This window comes from Homo sapiens, chromosome 14, assembly GCF_000001405.40.
Source record: "Homo sapiens chromosome 14, GRCh38.p14 Primary Assembly".
Classification (NCBI taxonomy): Eukaryota; Metazoa; Chordata; class Mammalia; order Primates; family Hominidae; genus Homo; species Homo sapiens.
The window spans coordinates 33,732,306-33,754,735 of record NC_000014.9 but is presented as its reverse complement, the minus strand read 5'-3'; the positions used below and the strand labels follow the sequence as shown (position 1 = coordinate 33,754,735).

Genomic DNA, 22,430 nt, shown 5'->3' with positions numbered 1-22,430 from the left:
GAGAGAATCTTGAAAGATTTTGTGGTATTTGTTCTTGGGGACTAAGGACAGTAAAGATGCTGTGCTGTTCTCTAAGATGGATTACCTGTTTGTACCTCTGTCTTTCTGGAAATTCAGTGGGATGGGGATGAGGATGCAGATTCCCGGACTGTCATAAAATATTGCCTGCACATTCCATTGAAGCCATGGTCTCCCTCTGACCATGCTACCGCCATAGAGCCAGCACTCTGAGGCTGACTCCAGCCACTATTCTTCCCCTGCTCCTAAGCATTCCACGAACATGAGGTCAGAGAGGAGAGGGAGCTGGGGAAGAAGGGAATGAGGACTTCCTTGGCCTCCCTAGTAGGTGAAATGTGTCTTGAATGTCATCCATTTCCATATTCCTCTCCTCCCTCCTCTTGGCCAAAGGCTCTTACTCTGCTGTGTCTCTTTTGATACCCCGGATTCCAATCACACTTTATTCCATCCCTCACACCCCACCTATTTCCTTAGTGCTCAGTTTTAAAGAATATCAGGGAAAAAAGCCCTCTAATATTAGACAGCAATGCTTTACTGAAGTACAGATCACTGTCTGTCTGTAATGCAGCTTCTTTCCTTCACCCAATTCTTTCTCTAGCCGCCACCCCAGTGGGGTCGCGGGGCACCTCCAAGAGGATGTTTCTCCTGCTTTTCATATCACTGGTTACCTTATTTTCTTAATAGGCTCAGGCATCAACCACTCTAGGGAAACTGATTTTCCTCTTTACAACCATCTGAACAGAGGATTGCTACATCTCAACCCCTGGGAGCTTCTTCTGTGCTGAGGGTCCCTTAAGCCCCTGGCACTGGGAACTGTGGGAGGCAAGCTTCAGGCATGGCTAACTTAGGAAAAGAGAGCTCCATATTTTGTTGCTCTTGTAGCATGGACATTTGCCCATACTTTGGTGGGAGGGAAAAATGAGAGGGAACAAATTTGGGAAATAAAAGCTTAGGAAAAAATAGATCACTTACTTTCCCCAAGAAGTGTTCTCATAGTGTTTGCCTGTTGTAGCTGCTGAAGTCAGATCAAGGAACCTGTAGATTTTTCTGGGTATATATTTTCTTGCTTTGTAGGGTATTGGCTGCATGATCTGCTAAAAGCTGTGACTAAATGAACCCTACAATTTGTATTCCCACAGCCACAAGTGTATTGGCTACTTCTTTTCCTCCCCTCTTTGGCTCTGGAAGGTTCATTACTTACAGTTACTGCAGAATCAATCTGAACTGGCCAAAATCAGTGATGGAATTTATAGCATAATAAATGCCCTGCCGCACAAATGCAGTTACACGTGAAAGGCTTGGGAATGTTCTTTTGAGCAATCCTTCTACATTGTGGAGTGTACGTTTTTTTTTTTTTTTATCAATTTAACAGAATCATCTTAAGCATATTTTGAGAAGTATAATCCTGACAGCTACAGAGCAGATTTTCCCTGAGGCAGGTATTGTTGCAGAAAAACAATATTATTGATAAAAATCTTAGCATATTGGAACATGGAAGGGAAACTAAATACATCTTTTTCATTCTTCACACCAATCCTTTAGAGCTCCATTTTCCAACCTCACATTGCTTTCCACTTTCTCTTTGAATTTTTATTTTTGTAAAAGTGTTTTAACACTTCTCGAAGCACACTAATGAACTGTTCTTTAAGAAGAATCAGCCGTACCAAAGTTGGCTTTGAGAGGCAGGCAGAATTTGAAGTGCACTCAAAAGATAATGCACAGATTGGGGCATCAATGATTTTCCTTTTTAAAAGTCAGTAAGTTAAAAGATTACATTGGTATCTGGCCCATTTTTCTTGCTAAGTGCCCATATTATGGGTGAATCCTGTTTTACAGCATTCTGATACACAGAGAGTTGAACTTGAGCGCGAAACATTGAAAAAAAATATCAGAAAGACAGATGGTAGGCCGTCCTCCCCAAAACTCAATTTCATATTATGCATGTGATTGCTAATAGGCAAGCACTAAAAAACAATTTTCCTTGACGGAGAAGGGCTGATACATTGTCAACATAAAGTTAGACTGCGGTTGCTCCAGTGATCGAAAGCTCGTCTGTGAGTTTGGTCCCATCAAAGTCAGCTTCTTACAACCGTATCAAAATTTATGAATGCATATGTCTATAAAGTGACTGAAAACAACCCATAATGCATGTTTGTTTATTGTGCATCAGCTCTGTGTTGCTTTAGTACATGCAAAAAGCCCAAACAAACACCCAAACCCAACTTGGTCCAGTTCTTTTTTTTAGCTTTTGCACATGAAAAAGAGCCAAGAGTCAATTGGGGATGATGTCCCCTTCTATCCTGAGATCTGACTTAAACAAAAATATCTACTCTTAAATGGCTCTTGCATGGCTTGGGAGTGTACTCCATGGGGTTACACTAGCTTTATGGTGACAGAAGTACGTGCATTTGAGAGCAGTTGAGAGCACTGATTATCTGGAGAAGAAAAAGATGTTTGAGAAAGAAAAAAAATAAAATAAAATGAAGCAGCTGAAAGCAACTCAGCTTATGATCTGCAATACAAAGCACCAAAGTTTCATATTATATTTTATAGAAAGGTAAAGCCTATGCAGATGCTGCAAAAATATTTAGAAAGAAAGGGAGAGGTTTTCTTTGTTTTCTTTGTGAAAATTATGTTTTTTAAAAAGTAATCATTCAATCCAGGAATATAAAGGTTTATTTTTTGGGGAGAAGGAGAGAAAGGGGTGAAATTTTGCTCCTATTGAAAATCTAGTAGTCATATACTGTATTTGATTTTTTTAAAAAACACATAACTTTGAATATTTGCATGGTTATGAAACTCATATTTTATGTCATCACTTACTGTTCACTTGAGAACTGTTGTTTTAATCGCAGATCACTTGTAACTGATGTGACATGCACAGATCTTACTGGGACAAAGGGATTGGGTACTCAGACAACACTGTTTACAAAGGTTGCTATAATTAGTAGAAATTCTGAATAGTCAACCAAAATCAGAATTAAGTGAGTTGAAGAACAAATAAAATTTTTCTAATGAGAGATAATTATCATCTTGAAAGGTCAGGGGTTTTACTAAATGGTATATTCAAGGGAAACTGTGGGCGCCTGAAATGTAGGTTTTGCTTATATTTTACCAAATACAGAGACATTTCCAATAATCTAGATACCTAATGGTGTGTAGACCAAGTGCTAAGTGATTGAGGTCTATGCAGTGCTTTGTATCTCTGATGCATTTTGCAATGCCAGCTTTCAATGCATACAGGTCTTAGTTTTTTTTCCCTTGAGTTACTGGTTCTAGGATCATATTGCTCTTCTCCAAATGTCTATTTATATGAGCAATGTGAGATTAAGGGGAAAAAGTCCCTGCACTCATGTTGGCAGAATGGTAGAAGGAAAAACGAATGGAGAAAATTCCAAAAGGAATGATTTAATGACTTGTTTAAATCTATATACTTACTCCCTTACCTAATAGGCTGAGAGCAACCTTCAAGTTCTTCTTGTTAGAAAATAATGCTCTTTCTCTTACAATGATTCCAAAAAATTTTGTTGACATGAAACACTCTTAATCTTCATCCTTGTGACCCCAAACACTGATTAGCCCATGGGGCTAGCATTACACCACATGAACGTTCCTACTCTTGTCTACATATGCCAGCTCAGCTTAGATATCTTTATTCCTGATACCCAGATTTCTTTCTGCTCACTACACTTGATGCCTTCATCTCTTTATTGATACCATTCCCTCTGTTTAGAGTTCCCTTCCTTCATATCTCTGTAGGTGAGCCTATCCCTTAAGAGCTGGTTAACATGATGCTGTCTTTGAGATCCTCTCCTTTTATACCAGACAGAATCATTTGCTTTATCCCGTTGCCCTTGGAACATACCTCTATTATAGCACATATCACATTATCTCATTATCATTTCTTTGTGTGCCTGCCTAACTCTAGACTCTGCTCTCTGGATCAAGGACTCTGTTTTATCCATCTTTGTCTTCCCAGTACCCAGTACAGTGTATAATACACAACAGGTACACAATCAGTATTGACCACATGATTGAGTGAAATCAATTCCTAAATACTTTGAACAAAGGGTGGTGTTGAAGAATGAAAGTTATAGATCATTCTTGGTTACACTAGACTTCTCTTTTGTTTTCTCAGGTTATTACAAACTGAGAAAGCATGTTTTCAAAAAACTTTCCACTATGTAGATGTAAACAAAGCTTTGGGGAAAAAAACTACATTCTAAAACTCTAGTTAGAATACGTAAAATTAGTTATTTCATATCAGTCTGGAAGGAACTGAAGTAGATAAGCTCTAGGGTCAGCATATGCCTCGTTCAGCTTTCTTTAAAAGCATGGGGAGTAATAAATCTCTCCATTTTATCTTCAGTGAAATAATACTGCTGAAATATCACCTCATTTTTGATGTCAGTGATGATTTCTTCTACCTCTATGATGTCAAAAGGGAATTATTATTATTAGAATGACAGAGTACTAATGATGCTGTAAGAAAAAAAAAAAAAGGAATAGCTGAAATCATCATAACCCAAGCATCCAACATATCCCTTCTTGACAACGCCTCACTGTTTGGTACTTTGAATGGAGTCACTCTGCAATATCACAGCTGTATAAATTTTTTTTCTAAGCAGGAAGTAAATCAAGAGCAGGTGCCTATGAATTTTCACTAGCAGAGTACCATCCTTAAAAAATTTTTTAGGACTGGATGGCATGATTAAGATGTGTGATTTATGAATCCAAGAGAGAAAAGATTCTTTGGGGGCCAAAGTGTTTCCTGGGCTCTTGTGACACATCTCCACTGATGTTTTCCCCAAGAAGAGGACCACTGTGTGGAGAGGAAGATTGGACAATGGCCTCTCTAGGCTTTGCAATCTGTCAGCACTCTGTGGGACAGTGATGGTATGGTGTGTTGGTTCTGGGCTTCACTCCCTTTTTCACTTACTGAGTGCTCTGCATCAATCTGTGTCTACTTCAGGGTTCTCGGAGTGCATGAGAACCTGGAGGTGCTACGCAGTGCCACCTTTTTGTCCTAGAGATCAAATCCACAGAGCTTAACAGTCCTCCGCTGTGCCAAGGGGCTTGGGGTCTGGCCACTATGAGTTGTTGGGCAAATTGCATCACTCTCTATATCATTTCAGTATAAAGAAAAGACACACTTCATAGAGAAGATAGTAATTCATAATAAAACATTCAAGAATATTTTACATTCCTATTATATTTTTCTTTGAGGAGTTTGACAATTATAATATTGTTAATTTCACTCATCACAGAAGAGCATTTACCCAAGACTCAACTGCCTATGGGGCTATTCTAGGCAGGTTAAACATTTCAGGTCCCTAAAACTGGAAACGTACACCCATTTCAGACAACACTGGCCTAGGTATTCACCAATAAGCCAACTGCAAATAATTAAAGAAGATAGATAACTTTAAAAAGAACATGATGCTGTGTGTTATTTGGCATAAACAGAGGGGTGAATCTATATTGTGTTTAAAGTTAGTGAGGAAAAGAAATTTGCCACTGTTTATGGAATGAGGCAAAGGAGTATTTCTCTCTAATCACTATTACTTTTTGTCTTCAGTTGAGGATATAGATTAATTTCTGAGACTGGTTGGTTTTAGTCCATCCATAGTCTCTCTAAGAACAAGGTGCAAAAGTTCACTGACCCCTCCCTAAAAATTACAAAATCCTTCCCAGACCTCTTTTCCCTCATGGCGTTCATTTGGTTAAATGTTTCCTAGAATATTTCAGATTCTCAAACTAGCCTTGACCACGAGGCAATATGACAGTTCTTGGTGACTCTGAATGACCCTTTGGGAACTTCTGGGCAGACTTTAATTCCCCTCTTCCCAGAAATCAGGGGCTGTTCCTGGGAAGGCCAATCCTCTATTCCATTTTACCCAGAATGTCTCAAAGGGGCTAAAGCACTAATGCACAGGGTGAAGCTCAAGGGTAGGTACTGTCAGCCAACCATCAATGACGAATGAACATCAAAGTCAATTGTTCGCTTTGTTTTCATCAAGGAAATAGAGGCCCAGATAATCAGGCTGTTTGTCCGACATTGCAGAGCAAGTAAGAAGCAAAGTGCTGGTAGTGGGATGAAATTTTTTGACTCTCCCCACCAGGTGTGCCCCTATTAAGGCACTCTGTTTTTCATGACTTCTACAAGGAATCATGAGTTTGAAGGACATTTGACAAGGGGCTGTTGAGGACTGTTAAATATATTCAAAACTACCAAGTAATAATCAAGTATCTCTTGACTGTACTTCCAGAGCTCTAGCCCCTAGAATTGGGTACAAGTGGGGTACAAGTTAAATACACGTTGATTTTTAAAAAACTGAATATGATAGCATGAAAAATATGTCATAGAATGTGTCAACCATTAGTATAGGCTTTTTAAAAAGAAAAGTTATAGTATCATCTTATCCTTATCATCAGGGCCCCAATACTAAAAAACTTGTATAATTCCATTGGCTACATATTCTCATCTCTAAACTTCTTTTAAAGGGACTAGAACACTGACTCAAGGAAGATGTAGAACACTGACCCAAGGAAGAAATATGTTCTGGCTTAGTACAAATCATGTCTAATATTTATAAATTAATTCATTTTTTAAAAAACAAATGTTTATATTGAATTTCTACTGTGTGCCTGAAACTGTTCTAGGAATTTCCTGTTATACTGTAGTAGGAGAGGAAAACTATGTACAAATACATGTATAAAACAGTGTCAGGTTGTGTTAAGTGTGATGAAGAACAGTAAGGAGCAGGATAAAGCAGATGATGGGGTGCAGAAGGAACACTTGATATATTGTAGATGGGGAGGTGAGGAAAGTGATGTTTCAGCAGAAATCGAAGTGAAATGCAGGTGTGACCCATGGGAATATCTCAGGACAATATATACTTTAGAGAGAATAAAAAGCAGATGTGAAAGCCCTGATAGAAGGGATATGTAAATGCTGCTGTAAGTCAAGGGATAACTTTTGTTTCCATAGACAATTGCCCAACTATGAGCCAAAGGTGATGTTTCCAACATGGCCACTTAGAGATATCCATTGCTCACTGGTAGTTCAAATAAAAGACACACACCTGCCCAGGCAGCAGCCCAAAGCTTCTTCCCTAGATGTAACTACAGATGATTGAGAATTTGATTACACAGATGATTCTTTTGTTTGTAAGAGTCTTATTACTCAAATCACATTGTGATGAGGTCACTCTTTTCATTTGATGGTGGGATGGGGGGCATCCCTAGAGGGATGGGACAGATAAAATTGGTCCCTTGTGCCCTGGAAAGTCACTACAACGGAGCTATCAGCTCCAGATTCCTGGCTCTCTTCTTTTACTTAGAATGAGTCAGTAGAATATGCAGTGTTTGGTTTTTTGTTCTTGCGATAGTTTACTGAGAATGATGATTTCCAATTTCATCCATGTCCCTACAAAGGACATGAACTCATCATTTTTTATGGCTGCCTAGTATTCCGTGGTGTCTATGTGCCACATTTTCTTAATCCAGTCTATCATTGTTGGACATTTGGGTTGGTTCCAAGTCTTTGCTATTGTGAATAATGCTGCAGTAAACATACGTGTGCATGTGTCTTTATAGCAGCATGATTTATAGTCATTTGGGTATATACCCAGTAATGGGATGGCTGGGTCAAATGGTATTTCTAGTTCTAGATCCCTGAGGAATTGCCACACTGACTTCCACAATGGAACAAAAAACCAAACACTGCATATTCTCACTCATAGGTGGGAATTGAACAATGAGATCACATGGACACAGGAAGGGGAATATCACACTCTGGGGACTGTGGTGGGGTGGGGGGACGGGGGAGGGATAGCATTGGGAGATATACCTAATGCTAGATGACGAGTTAGTGGGTGCAGCACACCGGCATGGCACATGTATACATATGTAACTAACCTGCACAATGTGCACATGTACCCTAAAACTTAAAGTATAATAATAATAAAAAAAGAAATATATGTTTTTTCACCTACTGTTTATTCTTACACCAGTTACTTAACCTTTCTAATTCTCGGTAATTTCTCTTGCAGAATGAGAGTGATAATACATGTCTCACAGAGTTGCTGTGTGCAACCATATTTTGTAAAGCATCTTACACATATAAACAGTCTTAAATCTTATTTAGAATAATAGTGTTACAAATATATTTAACTATAAGTTTATTAATAAATACATCATAAAAAAAAAAAAAGAATGAGTCAGTAGAGGGCCGGGTGTGGTGGCTCACGTCTGTAATCCTAGCACTTTGGGAGGCCGAGGTGGGCGGATCATGAGGTCAGGAGTTTGAGACCAGCCTGGCCAACATGGTGAAACCCCATCTCTACTAAAAACACAAAAACTAGCCGGGCATGGTGGCAGGCATCTGTAATCCCAGCTACTCAGGAGGCTGAGGCAGGAGAATCGCTTGAACCCGGGAAGCAGAGGTTGCAGTGAGCTGAGATCGTGCCACTGCACTCCAGCCTGGGCAACAGAGAAAGACTCCATCTCAAAAAAATAAATAAATAAATAAATAAATAAATAAAATAAAATAAAAAAGAATGAGTCAATAGAATCCCCTAAGGAATGTTGCATACTACCTCTCAGGTGCAGCAGGGTTCAAGCCACAGGGGCAGTTTGCCTTCCCCGCAGGTTCAGTTTCTGGGATATAGATGCTCTAATCAAACAATGGAGACTTACGGGCTATATAGGAGGCTTAGAAACTCCATTTATTCCAGAGATCAACAACCTCAAATTGGTCCTTTCCCTACTTCATTTCTTGCATTAAGGGCTATATTAGTCTTCCCATGATGCTAAATCAATCCCAAAGAAAACCATTTGGTATGTGCTTCTTTTGTTAAAGGAACAGATGACGTATTTCAGTCATATTTTGTCCCTTATAATCAAATCAATATTCAGGACACTTAAGCAAGAAGAAATTTCCCAGAAATAAATGCATTTTCTATATTTGGAAGAAATCATTTATTATTCTAGAGCTCATATAACTTCCAGGAGATAATCTGAAATATTACTGATGAATTACTACTTTTCATAGGTACAGGTGCATCTGCAGAGGTGTAGAAATTAAGGTTTTGTATAGTCTAGATTCACCTCTATACATGAAATTTCACATGTAGACATGGATTGTATGTGTTCACTATGGGCCAGGCATTGTGGTAAGCACTTTACCTTCATCTCATTTTATTTCACAATAGCCTTATGAAGACGGTTGTATTGGTACTCTCATTTTACAATAAAAAATCCAGATGCTTAAAGAAGTTAAATAAAAGTCACAGACCCAGGAATGCAGGACTAAGTCCAAATCCTCAGCTGTCTGATGTCACAGCTGCTCTGGTTATCACTCTTCAGTAGAGTAATTTTGAGATAATAAAGGTCAAACGGTAACATACATTCCTTGTTTCCTGTTTTATCGTGTTTCACATTATTGCACTTCCCAGATACTGTGGTTCTTCTCTGGTCTGGCTCTGTCACCTAGGCTGGAGTGCAGTGGCACGGTCATGGCTCACTGCAGCCTCGAACTCCTGGGCTTGAGCGATCCTCCTGCCTCAGCCTCTTAAGTAGCTAGGACTATAGGAGTGTGCCACCATGCCTGGCTAAGTATTTTTATTTTTGTATTTTTGTAGAGAGGGGGTCTTGCTGTTTTGCCCAGATTGGTCTTGAATGCCTGGGCTCAAGCAATCCTCTTGCCTCAGCCTCCCAAAGTGCTGGGATTACAGGTGTGAGCCACTGCACACGGTCTAGATACTGTGCTTTATACAAATTGAAGATTTGTGGCAACCCTGCTTCAAACAAGTTCATTGCTGCCATTTTTCCAATAGCATGTGCTCACTTCATCTCTGCATCACATTTTGGTAATTCTTACAATATTTCAAACTTCATTATTATTATTATTATTATTTGCTTTTTTGGGATGGGGTCTCACTCTGTTGTCCAGGCTGGAGTGCAGTGGCGCAATCTCAGCACACTGCAACTTCTGCCTCCTGGGCTCAAGCAGTCCTCCTGCCTCAGCCTCCTGAGTAGCTGAGACCACAGGCAGGCACCACTATGCCTGGCTAATTTTTTTGTATATTTGGTAGAGACAAGGTTTCGCCATGTTGCTCAGGCTGGTCTTGAACTCCTGAGCTCAAGCGATCCTCCCACCTTCGCCTCCCAGAATGCCGGGATTACAGGTGTGAGCCACCATGCCTGGCCCAAAGTTCATTATTAGTATACCTGTTATAGTGATCTGTGATCAGCGATCTTTGATATTACTGTTATAATTGTTTTGGGGTGCCACAAATCATGGTCCAAATAAGAGGTGAACTTAATTGATAAATGTTGTGTGTGTTCTGACTGCTCCAATGACCAGCTGTTCCCCAGTCTCTCTCCCTCTCCTCAGGCCTCCTTATTCCCTGTGACATAACAATATTGAAATTAGGCTAATTAATAACCCTAGCATGGCCTTTAAGTGTTCATGTGAAAGGAAGAGTTGCACATCTCTAACTTTAAATCAAAAGCTAGAAATGATGAAGCTTAGTGAATAAGGCATATTGAAAGCTGAGATTGGCCAAAAGCCTCTTGGTGCCAGTTAGCCAACCAGTGAATGCAAAGGAAAAGTTCTTGAAAGAAAATAAAAGTGCTACTCTAGTGAACAAACAAATGATAAGAAAGTAAAACAGCCTTACTGCTGTTAGGGAGAAAGTTCTAGTGTTCTGGATAGAAGACCAAACCAGCCATAATGCCAAAGCCTAATCCAGAGCAAGACCTTTTATCTCTCTTCAATTCTATGAAGGCTGAGAGATATGAAGAAGTTGCAGAAGAAACAGTGGAAGCTAGCAGAGGCTGATTCATGAGGTTTGAGGAAAGAAGCCATCTCCATAACATAAAAGTGCAAGATGAAGCAAGTGCTGGTGTAGAAGCTGCAGCAAATTCTTCAGAAGATCTAGCTAAGATCATTGATGAAGGTAACTACATTAAACAACAGATTGTTAATGGATACAAAACAGCCTTCTGTTGGAAGAAGATGCCATCTAGGATTTTCATAGCTAGAGAGAAGTCATCAATGTTTAGCTTTAAAGGATAGGTGGATTTTCTTGTAAGGAGCTAATGAAGCTGGTGACTTTAAGTTGAAGCCAATGCTCACTTATTCTGGAAATCCTAGGGCTCTTAAGAATTATGCTTTTAAGAATTATGCTAAATCTAGTCTGTCTATGCTTTAGAAATAGAACAATAAAGCCTGGATGACAGCACATCTGTATATTATCATGGTTTACTGAATATTTTAAGCCCACTGTTGAGACCTACTGTTCAGAAAAAAATACTCCTTTCAAAATATTACTGTTCACTGACAATGCACCTAGTCATCCAAGAACTCTAATGGCAACATACAGGGGGGTCAGTGTTGTAAACATGCCTGCTAACACAATATCCATACTGCAACCCATAGATTAAAGAGTAATTTTGACTTTCAAGTCTTATTACTTAGAAACCATGTTTTGTAAGGCTATAGCTGCCATAGATAGTGCTTCCTCTGATGAATCTGGGCAAAGAAAATTGAAAACCCTCTGGAAAGCATTCACCATTCAAAATGCCATTAAGAACATTTGTGATTCATGGGAAGAGGTCACATGAACAGGAGTTTGAAGTGTATTCTAACCCTTATGGATGACTTTGAGGTGCTCAAGACTTCAGTGGAGGGAAGAACTGCATATATGAAGGAAATGGCAAGAGAATTAGAATCAGAAGTAGAGCTTGAGGATGTGACTGAATTGCTGTAGTCTCGTGATGAAACTTAAATGGATGAGTAGCTGCTTCTTATGGATGAACAAAGAAAGTGGTTTCTTGAGATGGAACTTACTCTTGGTGAAGATGCCATGGCCATTGCTGAAATAACAAAGGATTTAGAATATTCTATAAAGTTAATTGATAAGGGTTTGAAAAGCTTGACTTCAGTTTTGAAAGTTCTACTGTAGGAAAAATATTATCAAACATCATTGCATGTTACAGAGAAATCTTCATGAAAGGAAGAATCAATCTACGTGACAAACTTCATTGTTGTCTTATTTATAAAACCTGCCACAGCCACCCCAACCTTCAGCAACCACCACCCTGATCAGTCAGCAGCCATCCACATGGAGCCAAGACCCTCTACCAGCAAAAACTTTGCTGAAGGCTCAGATGATTGTTAGCAGTTCTTAGCAATAAATTATTGTTAAATTAAGATATGCACATTCATTTTTAGAAATAATGCTGTTGTACACTTAATAGACTACAGTATAAACCTAACTTTTATCTGCACTGGGAAACCAAAAAATTCATGTGACTCATTTATTCCCACGTTTGTTTTATTGTCGTGGTCGGAACCAAACCCACAGTATCTCCAAGATATGCCTGTATCTGGAAACCTTCGATTTCTGTAAAGAGTTTAGTAACTGCTATTTCAGACCACCAGGTCAAGAGATTACTTTAGTGAAACAGAAATGTGGGGTGTCTGCAGCTATTGTTAGGGCATCTCAGCATGTTAAAGAGTGCAAAGCCTGAAGAAAAATGACCTGTGCTTGCGTTTGTTTTTTAGTTCTTAGGTCTGCTTTACAACTCATTGTAATAGGCCAAAGTCTCATAATAGTGATAATTATATAAATAAATCTATTAGGTTGAGAAGGTATTTACAGAGGCATTAACAATAACTTTTAGGAGCAATAGTTGGTTAAAAGACATTATATATAGGAAAGTTTGTTACTTTTTTATGTATGTATATGTACATACATATACATATGTGTGTCATTTTCAAAGTGATCATCACTTTTGTTATTCATAGCTAGCAAAGGCTCAGAAAACTGATCTGAAAAGATACAGCATTAGTCAGAGAAGAGATGCTGTTACCTCCCCTACCTGCTTCCTGAAATCTCTGTAGCGGAAAATGAAGGATCTTTAAGTTAGCAACATACTTGGGCTGCAGTCACTGACATACTTAGAATTTAAAGACACTTCCCAGAATGGCTAGTGATTATGCCTCTAGTTGGTAAAATAGCTAGCTGATTAGTCCCAGCAGAAATGACATATCCCAAGCTGGAACTACTGTCATGCCTTGGTAATGGGAAATAAATTCTTTAAGATCAGAAACAATGCCGGCTGTATTTAAAATGACACTGGAAACCACGTTGTAATGGACAATTGTGCAGAGGTCAGCAGAGACTAAAACGAGGTAAAAGGATTTAAAAAATTTGATTTTATTGGTTCTCTCCTCTATTTGCATTTTTCATCAGGATAACCTCTGCCTGTAAGTTCCACCCTGGAAATTTTTTCTCCTTCAATTTATCTTGGGTGTCTGGGTTGATTGAAAGGCAATAAATGCATAGCCTTAGAAACTCTGAATGGGTTGACAGAATTTTTGGTCTCTGAAAATTCACCTATTGATTTGACAAGACAGTTACATTTTGCACAACTTGGAATGCCGTAGTCATCATTTCACGACAACACAAAGCTGAAGCAAAAGGCTTTAGGAGAAGCATTGGTATGTCTGGACACCTGGAACAACTCTGAATCTCAGATAAGGAAGAAACATCCAGGTGGCATCTAGTCCATCCACACTTGTCTGGGAGCAGGAGGAGACTCCTAGCTGATGAGTTCAGTGTATGCTCTTAGAAATGTCCAGAGAAGGACCACTACCACATTGCTCCCTACATTAGTGCTGGGCATACCTCCAGGCTATACTTTTCCTGGTATAATTAAAACTCCATAAGAATCAGCATTCTTATTATAATATGTCACATATTCTTAGCAATCCCTGAGAAATCATGGAGTTTTTCCAGAAGACAGGATATTGGCAAGTATTATCCTAATTTTCAGAAAGAGAGAGGCCCGAAATGTTTATATTCAGAAAAAAAAATTATCGAAAGATATTTTAACAAAAAATTGTGATCACCACAGGCTAGCATGAAGTCATGATAAATAAGTGATGCTAACATGACTCATTTCTCATTTTCTGAATGGAATCTTCAACTGATGGCTAAAAGGAACACTATGGACCCAGTATGTTTCAGTTTTAGTAAAGCACCGATAAAGATTTGCAATATCCTTGTAGGCAAAATGGAGAAATGTGAGCCAGATCACGGTACAATCGTTTGGGTTCATAGCTATTCCAACAGTCACATGTAAAAGACACTGATGTCAACTAGCAGGATCTCTAGTGGTATGCCATAGGGCTTGGTACTGTCAACAGTTTTCATTGGTATATCGGAAAGAGAGCATGCAATTCAATTAAATCAACATTTATTGAGTGACAACTATGTGCAGCATACTGTGCTAGGTGCTGAGGGAAGAAAACAGGATAACAAAGTACCTAGTATCCAATGTTGGGTATTGGAAAGAAGGCTTTTGAAATCAGAAGATCTGGATATTTCTCAGTCTTGCCATTTACCATTTATCTGACTTTAGATAAGTCAATTTGTATTTCTATGCCTCCATTTTACTTATCTTCAAAATTGAGGAAACAGATAATTTTCTAAAATGATTATTGTGAAGTTCAGATGATATTATATGAAAGTACATCATAAAATGGAAAAAAGATGCCTAGCTGAGCCTGTGTTATCTCACTTTATCTGTAGGAAAATTCTTTGGTTTAGGTACTATTAATAGCTTCATTTTACAGGTAAGAAAATGAGGCACAGAGAATGTAAGTAAAATCTCAAAATGCTATTTAGCACAGAAGAGAAGGGATAACTTTACTTATATGCATTAGGGGAAATGAAAAAATAAGTGATATTTGAGTGGGGCCATACTGGTTGAGTAAGAGTTTTCCAGGTGAAAGTGTGGCAGAAAGGTATAGGACTTCAATATGTATCAACACTGGATGGATAAATGGGAGGGAGAAATGAGGAGGAAGGAAAGGACTATTGTGATACTGACGGAATATGTTCTGGAAGATGCACTAACTTGGTTTCTTAATAAGTGCTGAAGATATCATACTGTTAAATAGGGTTTTGTAACCTGCAATCAATGGATAAAATGATGCAAAATGAACTTACCTTGGGAGAGGCTCTATAGATTTTATCAAATCTTTAAAGGGCTCTATGATACTCCAAATAAAACAAATCTGTTAAAATTTCATGTGCACCTTATTCCACAGAGCATATGCAACTATGAAGTTCTAGTAACAAGAGAAGTTTCTAATTTAAGAGACACCTATGTTTGGGCTTAGAGAAGGCAAAATAATTTTCCTTAGCTAATTAGCACCTTCTCGTTAATTTTGTAACTTCATGTTTAGATGCAGATATTCTTAAAGCTAGAGTATATGAGCGATCCTAATAAACTAGTGAAACTACCAATTATTATTTCTTTAGAATTCTTTATATCATAAAGGAGGCTGGGTAGGATTTCAGAAGTCATTTAGTTTAGTACCTAGCTACAGGTAAATCCATGCCCAAATCATCCCAGATGGGGGACTATTTTGAAGAATCTTGAGTTCTTGCATCCTCCCTCCCTTAGTAATATGTTTGCGTATGTCATAGCAGGAACTCCAGTATCTGAAGATTTCACCACTGTGAAGAGTTTGAAGACACTCCGAGCATTATATAAACATGACAGCTTTTCTCCGTTTGCCTACGTTTGCCAGTCTAGGCTGTCTACTGTGCCATTAGAATGAGGACATCATAATGTGTGTGGATAAATACTTCGGAAATGACAGTGGAGCTGGTAGGCATTTCAGAAGAGATCAGAAAACTGAAAGTCCCATGCCAAAGGAAACTATCCTCCAAAGACGGAGCTAAGGAGGCGACCCAATTAGTCTTCCCTTCTCTAATTTCCCTGATTACATATCTTCTTTTACCCCATGCGCTATACCTAGCAAGTTCCCCCAGACATAGACCTAATCAAGAAGGCAGAATCTATGTGCAGTGCAATTTAAATGAGAGCTGTGCTATGCTATGTGACTAACAGTGAGGCCTAAACAACAGGGAAGCCCCTGAGGCATAAAAAGTGGCTGGTCCGGATAACATGCTACTGTGGATTTCAAAGCAAATGAGGACAGAAACAACTGAATGTCAGCTCATATTTGGGAAACTTCACTGGAGAGAGGGCGACTTTCCTGAGGAAGGGGGTGTGGCAGACACTGCAACAGCAACTCACATTAGCAGATGCAGGTTGGTATTTCCTTGGCTAGAATTCTTGGTGATGGGGAATGTGAGTAGGCATGGAGTCCTGGAAAAGAAGTACATCTCTGTAACTCCTTGGGGGCATTGGGATCACCAAGCACCGATACACTAGTGCAGTGGGATACGGTGAGCCCCAGAGGGAAGGTCTCAATCAGGCAAGAAGTTTTTCTTTTAAAAATTTAAGTTAATTACTTTTTCATATGTTGAGGTCAGCTCATGCTGAGCCATTCTTGGGACTTAATCCTTTAAGCAGTGAAGCAGAGGGGCCAAGCGGACAGCCTTGGAGGATTCGATTCTGGTGCTTCAGTAGCTACTTAAGGGCTGTATGAAAATGGGCAAAGTATTTCACCTATTAAGACCTCAGTTTCATCACCTGCAAAATGGGCATAATAATAGAATATAACATTTGGACCATGCCTGGCATAGAGGAGGATTTCAAATAATCCTGTTGTGTGGATTAAATAACTGTGAAGCATGTGGCACAGTGGCTGCCACGCAGTCAATGTTCAGTAAGTGGTACTTTTGTTCCTATGACGACAACAACAGATAAAGTGATGGAGAAAGTTACAAAGGTCCATGTGCCAAGATCACAAGAAAAACGGACAGAAATATAGTGGCCTGCACTGAGCAAAGCTTGACATCTTAGGATCTTTATGGGAAAAGATGCATACAATGGTCATAAATTAGGGGGAATATTGGGAGTACAGAGAAATGATTATCACTGTTTCTTTTTATTTGTGTTTATTGTGTGGTGGTGGGGTGATTACCAGTTTTATTGGAATGTTTTATAAGCTGCTAGATTTACTCACTGAGAATGAACAGATAAATAGGGATGTTATTCAGCTGTGTCATGCCATGGGCTCTCCTCAGCTCTTCCACTAACTTTCAGACAAAGTTAATTAATGAGGGAAGTTCACTGCAGATGAGGAGGAGGAGAGGAAGAGCTGGATCTGCTGGATGATTCATCTTACTGGGGAACAGAGGATGAATCAACTTTTGTTGGTAGTAGTTCTGGGGAAGAGAGTAGGGCATCGGCTGGAGACTCTCATGGTATCTTGAGAAAGACCTGCTGACAGGGTATGTCAGGGGAGTATGGTCACTTTAACATTGCATGATTCGATGGGATCTGGAATAGCTCCTAAATCTTTTCCAATCCTGGATGTTCAAGGTTGCACTTTTACGTCTTTTGTTTCTGGAAGGCCCATTCTTACTGCAAAGCATCTTTAATCCTAAGCCCAAGTTGCTTCAGAAACATCTTTCTTCCATTTGTTTGCATGATGGTCCCTTCTCATTTACCACTCATAGGTGACATCCCGCCTCCTCAGCGTGACCTTTTATAATCTTCCTATTTAAAGTGGCCTCCTGCCCTCATCAGCCACCCCCTCACACTTTCTTTGCTATCTGCATAGCAGTATAGCCTAGTGGTGAAGTGCATGTGGTATGGAGCTGGACTCCCCAGGTTCAAACCCTGGCTCTGCACCTTCAACGTGTGACATTGAGAATGCTAATTAGTTTTCTATCCTTAGTTTCTTTGTCTGTAAAATGGAAACAAAAACACTTTAGGAATGTTGTAAGGGCTAACACATGTGAACTATATCATGCCCAGCATATTGCCGTGTTCTTAAATACTGGCTGTTATTAATTTTAGCTATCATTACTTTATGATCTCTAGTTTGTGGTATGAAAAAAATTTTAATCAACATTAAATTATCAAATAATATTGAATTATACTTAATATTGCTTTTTGAAACTATATCTCACTCCTGGCACCCTTCTTCCCTCCTGGGATGTGCCCCTCCAAACCAGTAAAAATGAATAAAGGTGAAGAAAGAATGCCGAGAGACAGAAAACAGAAAGGAAGCCCCATGGTTCCTAAAATCTGAAATGCAAAGAATGTGTCTTTCTAGCATTAAAATAACAAGAATCTCAACATCTGTGGTCTGCTTATAGAACTCCAAACTTGCTAAGGCTACATAGTTAGCTAATGAATGCAGCAAGGCAGGGCAATAGAAAATGGTCCTAAGGATAGGGTCTGTTTTCTTTCCCTGAACACACTCCTTTGTAAGAAGCCTCTATCGGGTAGAGCTAGAGCAGGTGGAGCTGCCCACTTGCCTCTCCTCTGCATCGCACCTGCTAAAGGTTAAGGAGGCTCCACTTGTGCCTTTTAGACTCCAGGACAGCTCAGCTAAAGGTCTTTCTTGGAAGGATCTGCTTTCCCACCTCTCTTGTTTTTCTGAAGAATTAATATCAAAGAAAGTGCCTGACTCTGACTTCTATACAGCTGCTAGTCTCCTGATGGCTTAGGTAAGGTTTTGAAGGCCTAATGATACTGGCTGTTACCATCCGCGATAACACAGCAGTCGCCTTAAAGAACTGAACTATCAGAAGTTCTAAATTCTAAAGCTGGGGAAGGTCACAACGGCTGGCCACATTGATGGCACATGCCATTTCCGTTTGCCCTCCCACAGATAATCAATATTGTTTGAGATTGGTTAGTGTGTTGTAAAATTGATAAGATTCCGGTTGCCAAAGGCATTTCATGAATTTCATAGGTCTTAATTTACGTTGCTATAGTAACTGAAACATTGGAATTTCCTGAGATTTGAAGGCTTTTATATCCTTAACCTTAAAATGATGATAATGTAGATTTTGACTGTGGACTTGGTCTTTGCTTGTGAGGAACTTACGTATATCGAGTATTCTATGAATGCTAAGGTGTGACTGCACGTTCCATAAATACAGTTTTGAAATTCAGGTTTCTAATATCCCAACTGATTTTCTCGTCTATGTGTACAAATCTCGGTGGCTAAGATGTTATTAAAACGGACAGCCTTTCTGTAAAGAGAAAGGGAGAATTTGAAGGGGAAAGCGAGAGAAGTGGAACTCTCCTAAGTAGCAGTCCTAGAGCACTCGTCTTGAGGACTGATATGAAATTGGCTCACCTTCTCCATTAAAGTGAATTTCCAGCAGGTGCTGAAGCACTTGGCATATTTTTAATCAATGTGTTAAGAAAAGACACTATATTGGGGTTTTTAGTGCACCAGCAATGTCTGAAGTGAGAAGGAGAGGTGTAAAGAAGCTCCTGCCTTGAGACAGGAAGATGACTGGGAATCCTATGGGCTCCTCAAGATCACATGTATTCATTATATGGACCTAAAGCAGCTGGAAAATTCAATGCAAATTACCTAGGACTGGCCTGAGACAGCAATGTCTCCCCTCCCGGAACCGGCTTACCTTATATCCTGATGATTTGATGTGCACACCGCGTTTGGTCAGAGTAGATTTCATTCGGATGAAAAAGGAACGCTCAAGAGTGTTGTCAGTGGTTAGCAGACTGGGGCTGGTTGACTCCACTGAGGAATACAAAAATACAGACACACACGATTTAGATCTTGACACAGCCCCTCACAGCTACAGCTCAGGTGCAATCCTTGAGTTCACTAAAAATAAATGACTGATGGGTGCTAAGAGCAGTAGTAATCAATTTACCTCATTTAGAAAATGTTTACTTTGCGGAAAATAAAAAAGAAAAATTAATGTATCTAGAGTCACCTCGTTCCAGTTTCTAACAAGAGCTTTTCAGGCCTTTTTACTTCCAGCAGCTGCCTAAGTGGGGTCTCGTCATAAGTAACTGCAGTTTACTTGAGGCTGGGCTGGTGCACATGGAGAGAACTGTCATGAAAGACAAGGACCCGTAGATTTATGAGGTCAACTAAGGTACAGGCAGAGATGCTTCTGATAAAGGGTAAGGAAGGCTTGCTCTTTGTTCTCCCCGATAATCCATTCTTGTGCCATTTGCCTACTGGGAGTTTGGGATCTACTATCAAGGTGGAAGAGTCATGTCCTGACCAATGTCCTCACCCCTCGGAGCTGGTTTTCTTCATCATGGGGAGTAAGAAGCATAAATAAGACATGGAGGGATAAGAATGGGATGTATAGACAGAAACAGAAACTACTCACGATACCAACTTTCCATTCCTGTCACTTTACAGCAGCTTTCAACCCCAACCCTCCAAACAGGAAACAGTCTGTTTTTCCACCTCTCTGCTTCTGATATGAGGAAATAATGATTTTCTCTCTTAAACAAGATAGTCACTCTTTCCTTTTATGTACTTTTAGACTAAGTAGAATGTTTTTGCTTATGAAACTTAAAATGGTAGTTTGCCGTCTTGCTGATGTAAAAACACCTTTATGCAAACAGGTCAGAAGGCAACGTAAAAATCTATTTTCTTTAAAAACAAGCTTCCAAGGTATTTTATAAATTTAAGTGTTTTCTGGCAAAGAAATTAATTTTGGGGTTTTTAAGCCTAACAAATACTCTAATTTATACTCTTCTTAAGTTTTTCTTATTCAAAAGTAAAAAAAAAATTGTCCAAGAAACAGGATTTCTTTCGAGTAGTCGTATGCTAACGCTAATTTTCTCTGGAGTAAGGGCAAAGAAATATGTGTAATAAAGAGATTTAAGAATTAAGTATATGTGAAAACAGTTATTAACAAGAGAAAAAAATGGGCAAAACAAGTTTTAAATTTGAAGTATGAAATGCATTCCATATATTTCTAAGGGTGAGTAATCTCTTTTTCATATTAAACTTGGTGCTCAGATGAAAGAAGAATGAGAGCTACTGTAATAACAGAAACCTTGCTATCTGTGGTCTGGGGCTTTTCTTCTATCATTTTTATCTTAACATGACTATGTTTTCCTATTTTTGTGGCATTTCTATTCTGGGGTGATGGAATCACTGACAAGTGTCCCTTTCTTATGTGTCTCTCTTAAGGTTTTCCTCTTTTTTTTTGTTTTAGAGAGCATGAATCTGATGTCATTTTAAATGTACAGCTTTTTATCACTCGAGGGAAAAGCAGAGCCATGTTATATTTAGTACTTTCATTTCTTCTGATTAAATATGAATTACTATGAAATTTTTCTCATCATCTAACACGCCATAATACGCCAACAGCTTTTTAATACACTATATAAGCACAAACTTCTGCTCTAAGAGTTTAATTTGCCCCTCTAATCCAATCACATCAACCTTATTTCTCTTATCAGAGATTCCCATTTTGAATTAAATGAGCTCATTAGTTTTAATCAAAAGCAGAGAGATCAAAACTTAAACGTAAATGCTTTAGATCAGAACTGTCAGTCAGCCGTGCAGTTCTATTTTACTAAAACACAAGATCAGAGACCCTTAGAACCAATTTTTTCTCGTAAGGGATGCCGAGAGCTTGAAGATGCTATATCCTTTTTTTTTTTTTCCTCCCAAGGACAGATTATACATTTAAGGTTAGACTTAATTTATAGCAGTTTTTTTCATCCTGGTGGAAATGGAAAAGTATACCAATCTACTGTTGTTCCTTTCACATTTATTGGCACTGGTCCTCAGAGACTTGAACTAACGTGAAGCCATCAGAACCACACCACAAACTCAGCCTTAAAAATTCAGCTCTGTTCAGCAAGATCATGTTTGCAATTGATGAGGAAAAATGAAGCTTCCCAGAGAAGTGAAACCTGTTTTAGCGCTGGGGTCCTGGAGCCCCTGACCCAGTAAGGGAGGAACTACCAAACTTGTAGAAAGGGTGGGTAATGCAGGCATTGTGAGAAATCATTGTTTTCTATATGGAGAACTGCACAGTAAAACACTTAGAGGGTACATTAGAGACCACAGCATGGGTGCTTCCAGCTGGGTGAAGACACAAGCTTCACGTGAGCTGTGGAGCCAATCACGGCATCGTGCCCTGAATGAGGCAGGAGTATGGCACCGTACCACATGTTGCAACAGTAATTGCCTAAACATACAGGGGCAACGTTAATTATACCCAGGACAACCGGTGTAAGCGGGGAGTGTTAAGGTCGGTTTTGCCTCAGTGAAGCTGATATTTAAAATCAAAACTAGTCTTCAAGCTTTATTTCAAGAGCATGTGGTATGGAGAGTCCAAGAGAAGGAGACAGGGCAACCCAGAAAGAGACTGGTTTCTGATGACAATTTCTACTGAAATTCCATATGACTTCCTACTTCTGAGGACAGGGGCACAAGTAAGGAGCCACGTTTATTATAATAAAGTCATTCATAGCTCACACACCATGGCCATGGGTTCTCAAGAGCTAGCAAATACACTTGGTTTATCCCAGCTGTGACAATGGTGTCTCTCATGTGAAAAGACAGATTATCTGCATGTGACAGATGAGAGCAGCAGCTTTAGAAGAGATGCTTTTGAACTGTCTCACGTGAGAGGCGTGATTTTGATGAAGGTTCTATTGGGGGA

General features: G+C 39.3%; 1 protein-coding gene across 19 annotated transcripts in view; it reads right to left on the bottom strand.

The window, feature by feature from the left end:
- Nucleotides 1-22,430, bottom strand: part of NPAS3 (neuronal PAS domain protein 3) — an 869,389-nt gene that overhangs the window by 49,438 nt on the left and 797,521 nt on the right. For all 19 annotated transcript variants that reach the window (XM_017021582.2, XM_017021583.2, XM_047431678.1 and 16 more), the window contains one exon: nucleotides 19,404-19,522. In XM_017021582.2, the coding sequence (XP_016877071.1) occupies nucleotides 19,404-19,522 (119 nt within the window). The remainder of the gene's footprint in view (nucleotides 1-19,403; nucleotides 19,523-22,430) is intronic.